Source organism: Homo sapiens, chromosome 1 (genome assembly GCF_000001405.40).
Source record: "Homo sapiens chromosome 1, GRCh38.p14 Primary Assembly".
Lineage (NCBI taxonomy): Eukaryota > Metazoa > Chordata > Mammalia > Primates > Hominidae > Homo > Homo sapiens.
Window position 1 is genome coordinate 92,693,606 of NC_000001.11, and position 12,268 is coordinate 92,705,873.

At 36.1% G+C, this 12,268-nt stretch overlaps 1 protein-coding gene and 1 pseudogene across 28 annotated transcripts in view; both read right to left on the reverse strand.

The window, feature by feature from the left end:
• Positions 1-12,268, reverse strand: part of EVI5 (ecotropic viral integration site 5) — a 283,715-nt gene that overhangs the window by 184,910 nt on the left and 86,537 nt on the right. For 15 of the 28 annotated variants that reach the window (NM_005665.6, NM_001308248.2, NM_001377212.1 and 12 more), the window contains 7 exons: positions 10,950-11,139; positions 9,790-10,014; positions 8,536-8,610; positions 4,255-4,380; positions 1,705-1,848; positions 694-783; positions 197-294 (listed from right to left, as the gene is read on the reverse strand). In NM_005665.6, coding sequence (NP_005656.4) covers positions 197-294; positions 694-783; positions 1,705-1,848; positions 4,255-4,380; positions 8,536-8,610; positions 9,790-10,014; positions 10,950-11,139 — 948 coding nt within the window. The other 13 variants (XR_001737401.2, NM_001377213.1, XM_024449689.2 and 10 more) reach the window with 2 other exon arrangements.
• RNU4-59P (RNA, U4 small nuclear 59, pseudogene) lies at positions 7,214-7,329 on the reverse strand (annotated as a pseudogene).

The following is a 12,268-nucleotide window of genomic DNA, read 5'->3' on the forward strand; positions in this document are numbered from 1 at the left end:
AAAGTTTTAAAGGTAGTACATGCTAGTCCCATGCACCACTGTTAAAAGCAGTATATTCCAACATTAGCTTTATGCTATATTGAAACCAATACCACCGAAGAAAATAATATAGTTCTATAACCTAAGGAGGAAAACTGTATCACTAGAATGTTTTGCAACTTCCACTGAATTTCCAACAAAAATATAAAATACTTACTTTTTCATTTTTTTTGAATTGTATTTGACTTGGTAAGCTGCTTGGATTAGCTTGTCTGGGACACCATCAAACTGATGTGGAATGACCTTTTGAAAGTGCTAAGATACAATTAAAAAAAAAACATAAGAATGACTTAGTGCTGTTAATAGTGAAATCCAAAGACATTCAAGAAATTATGGGCTGGGCGTGGTGGCTCATGCTTGTAATCTCAGCATTTTGGGAGGCCAAGGCAGGCGGATCACTTCAGGTCAGGAGTTCAAGACCAGCCTGGCCAACATGATGAAACCCTGTTTCTACTAAAAATACAAAACTTAGCCAGGTGTAGTGGTGCATGCTTGTAATTCCAGCTACACAGAAGGCTGAAGCGGTAGGAGGATCACTTGAACCTGGGAGGCAGAGGTTGCAGTGAGCCAAGATCACGCCACTGCACTCCAGCCTGGGCAACAGAACTAAACTCTGTCTCAAAAAAAAAAAAAGAAAATAAATTATGAACTTACCTGTAACATCCCTTCCATGTCAAGTTGCATCAGTTCTGCCTGATTCATCTGAAGAAGTGCTAATCCTACACGAAACACTATTTCTAAACCCTGAGGAAACAAATTAAATAAATCCAAATTTATGTTACTCTTCCATCAACAAAAACGAGTCATTTGAAATAATACTAAGGTAAACATTTAGGGATCTAAACTAGGGGCTGGCAAACATTTTCTGTCAAGAGTCAGAAAGCAAGTATTTTAGGTTTGGTGGGCTATATTGTCTGTCAAAATTACTCAGTTCTGCCACTACAACCCTAAAGCAGACATACACGACATATAAATAAATGGGCAGGGTTGTGTTCTAGGAAAACTTTATAAAAAACAGGTGTGGAAGAATGGATTTCGCACAAAAATCTGTCCATCTGATTGGTACATGAATCACAGCTGACCAACTGTGATCTGAACTAATTTAGATAGGTAATACAAATTGATTTTCCCAAGATGTAATTAATAACAACATTGAGTTCACAGACTAGAAAACAAAGGATTACCTCTATGTGCTACTGACAAAAGGACAACAACCTGCAATGTGTTCATAGAAGAAACATGCTTATTACTTCTTACTCTTTGGATGACAGATGCATTTCAACAATATTAACTGTAAGACAAATTTTACCTCTCACTAACTTTCACTGTATGAGTTAGGAGGTGATAAAGAGGTATGATTAACAGTGTAGGCTCCAAACTGCCTATGTTTGAATCCTGGTTACAACACCACTTATGTATTGTGTGTCCATAGACAAGCTACTTAACCTTTCTCTAAGTCTCAACTTCCTCATCTATCATCTAACAAATGCAATAAAAACAGTATCTACCTGATAGGGTTATTATAAGGTTTAAATGAGATTATCCATGTAAGCAGTTTTGCATGGGACACATGGCTTTCCTTCATTGCTCTCCTCATTGCCCTGCTCTCACTAACTCAGTGACCCCTTTGCTCAGCTCCTGCTCTTTGTCTGCCCATTAGCTTACCTCAGACATAAAGATATCAAATATCCTTGTTGCAATTGGTAGTGGAAAAGTTGTAAGAAAGATAGTCAGAAACCAGGATGATGCATACATTGAGGTATGAAAACTCTGAGATTGAAAATGTACAAAGAGCTCTGGAAGATGCTCCTAAAGAGAAGAAAATAATTAGTTATAACACAGTAAAACTGAGTATTTTAAATTAGATTATATTTATACTAGATTAGCCTATACCAAACACAGATTAGATCAAGCATCATATGGAAAAGGTAAGACATAGACATTGAAACATCTGGGACAGTGGCTAGTATCTAGGAAAGAAAGAAGGGGGAAAGAATGTGAAGTTGGAATTTTGAGTATAACATTTAATTTATTAATAAAAAGAAACTGAATAAAAGTTTTATATTTGTTTAATCCTGTTGGTGGATACAAGAGTGACTGACATTTTCTATACTCTTCTATCAACTATAATATTTTAAAAAGACGTTTAAAAAGAAAATAAATGGTATGTTAAAATACTTTCAGGCACTATCTACCACTGATCACCCATTCTTACCTTCCTAAAGAATAGGAAAAATATTCAAAATACAGATGTTTCAGCAACTCTAGTAATTCAAAACATAAATGAGACTTTTTTTTTTTTTTGAGATGGGGTCTCACTCTGTCACCCAGGCTAGGGTACAGTGGTGTGATCTTGGCTCACTGCAACCTCTGCCTCCCAAGCTCAAGCAATCCTCCCATCTCAGCCTCCCAGGCAGCTGGTACTACAGGTGCACACCACCATGCCCAGCCAATTTTTTTTATTTTTAGTAGAGGCAAGGTTTTGCCATGTTGCCCAGGCTGGTCTCAAACTCCTGGGCTCAAGTGACCTGTCCACCTCAGCCTCCTAAAGTGCTGGGATTACAAACATGGGCCACTGCGTCCAGCCATAAATGACACATTAATTGAAAATATAACATTAAGAGAGTTTAAGGCTGCTAAAAACAAGCTTACTATTTCAGAAAAGAATTAATTAAGAATCATCTCAAGTCCAGGCACAGTGGCTCATGCCTGTAATCCCAGCACTTTGGGAGGCTGAGATAGGAAGATCACTTGAGCTCAGGAGTTCAACACCAACCTGGACAACAGAGTGAAACCCTGTCTCTACAAAAATTAAAAAATAAAAAATCAAAATAGATAAAAAACTATTCAGGTGCAGTGGTATACACCTGTAGTTTCAGCTATCCAGGAGGCTGAGGGAGGAGGATGGCTTGAACCCAGGAGGTCAAGGCGGCAGTGAACTGTGATTGTGTCATTGTACTTCAGCCTGGACAACAGAGCTAGATAGACTCTGTCTCAGGAAAAAAAAAAAAATCATCTCAAAACCTATTCTGGCTTTTTCTTTAAAATATATAAAAACAAAAAATATGTACCCCATAATGTACAACTATTGTATGTCAATTAAAAAATTAGCCAGGCACAGCGGTGGCTCACGCCTGTGATCCCAGCACTTTGGAAGGCCAAGGCGGGCGGTTCATGAGGTCAGGAGATCGAGACCATCCTGGCTAACATGGTGAAACCCCATCTCTACTAAAAAAATACAAAAAATTAGCTGGGCGTGGTGGCAGGCACCTGTAGTCCCAGCTACTTGGGAGACTGAGGCAGGAGAATGGCATGAACCCAGGAGGCGGAGCTTGCAGTGAGCCGACACCACGCCACTGCACTCCAGCCTGGGCCACAGAGCGAGACTCCATCTCAAAAATAAATAAATGAATAAATAAAAAATAAAATATAAGAACATTTTACATATCCCCTTGCTCCCACCACAGATGGGAAAAACTGGAGTTTATAAGGCTGCCAGGAGAGAGGAAACTAATAAAAATGGCTCTCATGCCAGCTGATTCATTCACCTATTTTCTTAAATTCTGCTCATTTAATTGAAATTGAAATTGAAATAAATGAAAATATTTACATTATAGCAAACTTAAATATATAAAATATAAAAATTAAATCCAGAAAGGTAAAATACTTCAAAGGTATTTTTCCCTTGATTTTGATTCTGCTCCTATTCTCTCCACCTTCATACAGTCACTAGATAACTTGAGTCTTAAACTAGCAACATAAGAAAACATTACAGGAAAAAAAATTACGGGCTAGCAAAAAATAAAAATAAAATAAAAGTAAAAAGGCAGAGGAGAGGACTCAAAGAGACAGTCTCCAAGTAAATGGACTGATGTCAGTGTAATATCATAAAGCTCCTGTAAGAGAGCTTAGACTACGTAACAATAATAGGATATAATAAGGAAATTCATGTGCTTAGGTAAGGGGTGTATAGTACATTTGGCAGAAATGCTTAAGGATTGAATATGAAAACTGGAGTCAAGTCCTAGACTGTGATCTACCTAATTTGAAGGGTCAAATTGTACATTAACCAACCAAAAAACAATCATGTAATTAAAACACTTACTTCTTCAAGTGCTTTAATGCTTTTAACATTAAATTTGCTTAGTTGGCACTCAGAACAAGATATAAAAAATATAAAGGCAATATGCCTTTTTATCAACACTGCACTTTTACCTGTATCATACATTCAAACTGGTACATACAAAGGCCCAATTCTGCCATACTTGGTTTAAAAAGTTCACGAAGTCTATAATCTTGCATTAATTTAACAAATACACAGAAAGCTTCTTCTTCTGGCATCTACATTGGAAGAAAAAAAAACAACATAGGTTAATGTTCTCTGATACACAAATAAACCAATGATATTTAAACTAAGTACACAGCCAACCACAAACATTGTTTGAGTGGCTGTGTGCTGCAATGTTAAGAGCAATGAGGTAAGAATCAGAAAGTTCTAGTCTCCCATTCTATCACCAAGAATGAGAAGTTAAACAAATCTTACAACCTCTGAAACCAACTGCCTCAACTTGCCTCATTCATTAATTCAACCCAAAATACTGATTTACAGCCAGATACTTTTCTCTCTCTGGGTATACACCAGTGAACAAAATAAACACAATCTCTATTCTCAAGGAACCTGAATTTCTAATGGAGGGAGACAGACAAGACATGGAATAAATCAACTAATATATATGTCAGATGGTGATGGATGCTACAGAAATAAAATAAAGTAGGGAATGCTGGGGAGACACACGGCTATTGATATAGATCAGGAAAGGTCCCCTGATACGGTAACAGTTAAGCAGAATCCTGAAGAAAGCAAGGGAGCATTTGAGGAAAGAACAGTTCCAGAAGACCAAAGAGTACAAAGGTCCTAAAATGGAATCACACTTGGCATGCTCAAGAAACAGCAAATAGAGAACTACTAAATTAGAATACTATGAGTGAAGGTTACATCATGGAGGAGAAATAACAGGGAACCAAAATGCAGAGGACTGTAGAGGCCACTGTAAGGATTTCGACTTTTACCTTAAGTGAGAGAGAGGGATTTTTGAGGATTCTGAGCAAAAAATCATATGACATGGTACAAGTATTAAAAGGACATATAAATTAAGTTTTCACATTATCTGAAATTGGGGTTTAAAGGTACCAATTTCACATTTTATGTGTAAATCACTAGGAAATCATATCAAATAAGATAATGAATGTGAAAGCTCTGTAAAGAGCTACAAAGATATTCAGAATACTTAGGCAAATAACTATCCAAATTGTTAAACCATCTTTCTCAAAATAATAAAATTTGCTAATTCTCATTCATTCCCGTTATACCAGTGTGTTTCAAAAGAGAACATCCCAAAGGATCTCCAGGCCTTCTTCTTACTGAAGACTGCTGCTAATAACAAGACATTTTTCCTGGCCTTGACACAGCCACGGACAGGGGGCCAAGAGTCACTCTTGGCAAAACCTGCACTTCTTCCTTCCTCTCAACACAGATGGCCACAATTCTACTTAGGAGACTATCTCTATTAATTCTATCAAGCCCCACAGCCCCACTGAATTATGTCAGTCACTACGAGAAGCCCCAAATCCCAGGACTCTCATCCTAAATGATTTTACTGTTCTCCTAATCTGACCCCATTTCCAATCTTTCCTAAATCTTTTCCACAGCATTTTCTGGAACCCATATCCTACCATCAACAGAATAGTCTACCTATATCCTCAATCTCTTTTCCAAATGTTCCTCTCTTTCTTTAGCTGAAATCTGTATCTCCCCTAAGAATATTTCAACACTGAAACCTGGCTCTCTCCTAAGGTAGTTGTTTTCTCTTTTCTCTCCCACAGCACTGGAAGGGGACAGAGATTACTGAGGTATATGTCCTCAGGCGATTTAATCATTGTGCGAACATCATAGAGTGCACCTACACAAACCTATACCATATAGCTTACTATACACCTAGGCTATATGCTATATAGCCTATTGCTCCTAGGCTACAAACCTGTATAGTATGTTACTGTACTGAATACTGTAGGCCAACTGTAACATGATGGCACATGTTTGTGTATCTAAACATAGAAAAAGCAAAGTAAAAATAGGGTATTATAATCTTATGGGCGCACCATCACACATGCAGTCCACCGTTGACCAAAATGTCATTATGCAGTATGTAATTATAATTTCCCTTTTTGTCTTACAACAATTTCTTCTCTTCTGAACATATCAAAACAAGTTTCATTCCCTCTCCTCTTTGCAATAGCATTGATATGGGAACTAGAGGAGAATTTTTTTTAATGGCAACATTTTAAAAAATAAGTTGAGGTAATTTGACAAAAGAGGAAAAGGAGACAGAAAAAGTATCACTAGGTCCTTCTCAAAAAAATTGAAACCATGGTGACAAAATGAAAAAATGTGACACGGAGTGGCATACACCAAGTTGTTTTATAGTCATTCCTTTCCATTAGAAAGAAATCAAGACACTTGAGTCCTAGAGCAATGTGCTGCTACATAACTTTCTCTGTGACTCTGAGCTGATAAGAATCCATGTCTTTTGCAAAGGTCTAATGCAGACAATATACCTAATATTATAGGAGTGAGATATATACAAAACATACATACTTCTAACCATTTTGATAAAGTATGTACTAATTTTGCAAATTTTATCAGACTCTCTGAGTTACATTTCTAAACTGAAGTTATGGGAGAATATAGCATAAGGTGTCGGCATAAACTTTAGAAACAAAAAGAGGAGCTTTTCTACCTTATGGCCCTGGGCCATAAGTGACTACTGTTCTTGTGTTAATATACTGCTGCCACTGACAACAGCTAAGTAGATCAATCACCAAAATATTATTTATTACTCCAATGGTGGTAATAATACTTATTGAAGTTAATATCTCTACCACCACTGCTTGCCCTGTCTTGAAGGAAACTGTGATTCCTAGAGGATTCACAGGATCCACAGGATTCCTAGAGAGCTAGGTCAGCTGTTGAGAGATTCAGACCTCAAGCAGAGAAAAACTGCTCTTTAGATGCCCAAGAGAAATGACTACTAAAAGGTTATTGTGGAGCTAACAGGAAAATAAAAGGAATAGAACAGCAGCAAAAATCACTAGACTGATAATAAGGATGTCTGAGTTCAATAATGAAGGATCTACCAATACTAAATAAAGTAGGAAAATCATAATTTCAATTAGCAATAATTGCGCCTCGGATAAACCTCACTGGCTACGATACTGCCACTGCGCAAAGCTGGAAAATCATAATTTTGTTAAACAACTATACCTTAACATTAACAAATCTAGTTTTGCATTGTATTATTTATAACCTAATTCCACTTAGAAATCAATAACCACTGGGAGCACTTCTTATGTGTTCTTATATATGCTGTAACACAAAGTAAAAATTATTTTTATTATAAATCAGTGTCTCTGACATCAGGTCTCTTCTACTTAGAAAAGTGTATACTCCTGACAGCAACAAGAGCTTTAAAACTCAAAGCAGTTGGGAAGCTGAAGCAAAGCATCAGGAAACGGTTTCTGATTCCTACTTTGCTTTTATCTACCAGGATGTGTGATCTTGGGTAAGCCACTGAACTTTCACTGCCTATCTCCTATGAGCCAAACACCATGCTAGGCTTCTACATACATTACCTCAAATAACCCTCACAACTAATCTGAAAGTAGATAGTATTATCTTACTAAGGCTCAGAGAGAGGTTAAATAATCTAGCCTAAATTCATACAGCATGTGCAGAACTGAGTTGCAAAACCACCCTATATGACTCAAACCAAGTATCTCCATGATTCCTTTTCAGGACTAAAATCTGAGACTAAATAAAGAGTAAGATGGACTTAACATTTCAACAAAGCTGAAGAGATAATACTATATGCCATTTCCCTTCAAAGCTATGATTATCCTACCCCCGAATTCTGAAAACATTCCACCCAAACCCACTGCACACTCAATAACAAAGTTATATCCCTAGGGGGTAAAAGTGGCTGAGTACCACTATTTTAGGGCATGCAGTGAGGTATGCATAACAAGCTTTTAGCTCCATGATAAATTAAATTCTCTATAAATCTCTAAAGATGTTGTACAATATAAATAAGATTTTCTTACCAACACTTTAATTATTTCCTCCTTGGTTAGAAAAAGATTACTCTTCATTAAATGTTAACAAATAAGATTTTAAACTACTGTAGATTCAAGCTTTAGTAGAATATTACAGTAAAAATGTATCTATCATGAAGTTGAAATTTCATTTGGTGGTAAGATATTACTATGTTATTTTAACATGTTTAATCTTTTAAAATGCAAACTAAATATTTGTATTCAAATTATGCCTAGGAAAAAATACCCATATCCACTTACATTTAATAAAACAAAGATGCTTTTTAAACTCTCCAATCCAACTTAATAAAAAATTTCATTGGACATTTAATACTTATATTAACTTACCTGCATAAGCAACAATCCAACTATAAAAGCACTTCCTTGACAGTAACCAACCTCACGATCTACTAAAGAGTAAGCCTAAAAAGTAAAAAAAAGTTGTTCAAAATACATGGTAAGTTATACCTTCCTTCTCCAAAAAACCTAAAATTGGCAAGACAGACAGATTAAAAAACATTTATTTTTGAGAAAAGCTCTTGCTTGCTTGTTATAGATGTTATCCTATACATATTTAAAAAGCAAATGTTTTATTACATGAAATTTTATTTTGACAATTTCCCAATCCAAACTTGCTAGCTCTAAAGACATAAAATAAAATAAAATAAAATAAAATAAAATAAAATAAAATAAAGGAATTTGTAACAGGGCTTAAAAATCAAGTAAAATTGAGCTGGGCACAGTGGCTCATGCCTATAATCCCAGCACTTTGGGAGGCAGAGGCAGGCGGATCACCTGAGGCCAGGAGTTCGAGATCAGCCTGGCCAACATAGTGAAACCCTGTCTCTACTAAAAATACAAAAATTAGCTGGGCGTAGTGGCGGGCGCATGTAATCCCAGCTACTAGGGAGGCTGAGGCAGGAGAATTGCTTGAACCTGGGAGGTGGAGGTTGCAGTGAGCTGAGATCACACCGCTGCACTCCAGCCTGGGCAAAAAGAGTGCAACTCCATCTCAAAAAAAAAAAAAAAAATTCAAGTAAAATTTATATTGATGTATATAAAACTAGACTAGGTTTAAGGCAAAGGATTGGCGAAATTGAAATGATTTAACAAGAAGTCAGTATTTCAAAGAAGTAGCTAAAAGAAAAAGTAACTGTGGGAAGGGAAATGGCAATATTGAAGAAAAAATGACAATGGTACACCTTTCAAGGGCTAAGTGCTCTTAACAGTGCTGGCCATAGAAAGCAGAAAAATTTGCTCACTGTAGGAACACAGATATGATAGGAGAAACCCACATCCCAGGTTTTGAACTTCACAGATGGTGAATTATTCCTTTTCATGAGGATCCCTCTATGATATGTGACTTTTAAGCTATTCCATTTCCATCAACTAATGCTAAATAACGTAGTAAATGTTCTAACAAGTTCTCTATACTAGATAGTAATGTAGCATAAGAATTAAGGCAAAAATGATGCTAAAACCAATTTCACTGCCAAAGCAACTGATTATTGTGGTGGGAGGTCATGCTTCATCATGAAAAATGTATAATTTCAACCTTCCAGGAATTCATTTCATTTCAAAAAATGAATAAATAAAACTTACCTTCATTACATTAAATAAAACCTCCTGTCCAAGGCTATCTTTTTCCTTAAAAAAGTTGTGTTCAGGGTAAGTTCTAGCAATGTCCCTTCGGATCAATTTTTCACAAGGCGAGGTCATTTTCAGGAGTTCTGAATACTGATCCTTAATTGGCATACTTTGTGCACTGCATAAAAGTTGCCAAACTATTGCTCTAAAGTGATGGGGTATCCCTTTATGAACAAGTTCCTAAAAATAAAATAAAATTACAAAAATGAATTATTTAAGTGTCCTATCTTGCAAGCCAAGGAAGACTTATTAGGGGGTTGGAATGAAGTAGAAGACATCATTAAATTTGTAACTCACAAAGCTAGCTTTATAATAAGACTAGGGAACCCTGTAAGTCAAGGGTAAGATTGGGCCCTGGGTGTATCCTCTTCTGGTCAGGGGATTAATAATGATCATTTCACCTCAGTGTGTGACCTCTTAAGGTAATGGACTTGAAACCTGCAGAGCTGTGAATGATGGTACAGTACCCAACATTCAAAGGGCTGTTGAAGGCAAAAAAAAAAAAAAAAAGGAAAATACTGTTATTCAAGAATGCAGGATATCACAACTTCATTTCTGAATCAATAAAATGAGAGAATTTAATTTCTAAAACAATTTTCGGGCCGGGTGTAGTAGCTCACAACACTTGGAGAGGCGGAGGTAGGAAGACTGCTTGAGGCCAGGAGTTTGAGACCAGCCTGGGCAACAAAGCAAGACCCTATCTCTACAAAAAGGAAAATAAAAAATTAGCGAGGTGTGGTGACACACACCTGTAATCATAGCTACTCAGGAGCCTGAGGCAGGAGAACAGCTTAAGCCCAGAAATTCGAGGTTATAGTGAGCTATGACTGCATCACTGCACTCCAGCCTGAGCAACAAAGTGAGTCTTTATAAAATAATAATAAGTAAATAAAATAATTTTCAGTTATATATTTCTATATGATCAGGACCTCTGTAACAACTGATGTCTACAAATTAAAACTTTTAGGGGTACAAGTAAGTGAAAACAAATAAAGCAGACCTCTTTAATATATAGCTTGGAAGTTGTATTTGGGGTTTTTTTCCCAATCCTCTATTAAGTTATGTCTGACGCACTATGGAATAAGAATAAGAACTTCAACAAAGAACATGAATACCTTAACTTGCTTTTCCTTCTTTTTGCGTACATCTTCCCATTCATTAACAATTCTTCCCCAAAGAATCCAAGAATCTTCTTCAAGGTGACTGAGGTTGCTAGAGGCTGATGAACTCGACACAAGAGAAGAGCCACTGTTTCTTCTTGACCCATTTACAGATCTTAAAGACTTACTATCCGTTTCTAACAATCTAAAATATAATTAAAAACTGTTCAAGATCTAATCGGACAGTGATATTAGAAGAGGCATTGATGATACTTAGAGCTTTATTACTGCAATTTAACCATTGTTTTAAAATATAGTTTTAATAATATACATAATTTAAATAAATTTTGGTCACATCAATAAAATTACTGCTATATTTTTTTCACCTATTATAGCAGTTTGAAAATTTGAAAAAGCAAATTACGTTAAAAATTTTTGAGCTACTAGCCCCATTATAATTTCCCTTCGTCTCCATTAAAAATTCAAATTAGGGGAAATCTGATGAGAAAAGTATTTGGGTAGGCTTCAGGAAAAAAGAACTTATACTTGGAAGAGGTACAACAAATCTATGAAATAACCAATCCTAAAACGTTTACAATGTGTCTAAGGCTTAAAAGTAAGGCAGAGCCCCCAAAATTAACCAAATCACTTCTCTTTTTTCATTTTGCTTCACACATGCATAACCAATCTGCCCAAACAAAAAGTATTTATTTGGCCTATGCAGTGTTTGTGTAAAAACTGAGCTATTACTAATATACTAAAATTGGAGGATTTCACATATTTGCTTATATGCATTTATACTTTATTTATAATTCTAGATTCTCTTGAAAAATAAAAAGATAAGGCAAAACCGGTCCATATTCCTGCACAGTAAGAACAGGATATAGCTGCGTGGGAGCTTCTTCCTTCAAATGCAGAAGGACTTTAATCTGCTCACTTTCCATAATCCCTACAGTCTCCCCTAAAACTCAGGCCAGCTAACAGCTGCTATTTATTACTAGGTTTACACTGTTAAACTGGGACCTCCTCACTCATAAGGTCCCTGTTGAATTTTGAGCTTGCAACCCTGTGTTAGGCCTCCTCCTTATCTGTTGAAAGAAGGGTTAAGATAATTTCCAAGATCCAATCCATGACTAATCACTACATTAAGTCTTTTATTTATAAAAGGAAGGTGGAAAACGTAGCTCTATCACTATTTTATATAGCTACTACTCACTTCCAGTAATTCTTCAGGAAAAGTCATCTGCTTAGGCTACAACAAAAGCTCACAATACTAATTCATAAAATACAAAAGCTGAGAAAGAAAATAAACATATAGAGGTCAAATCCTATTT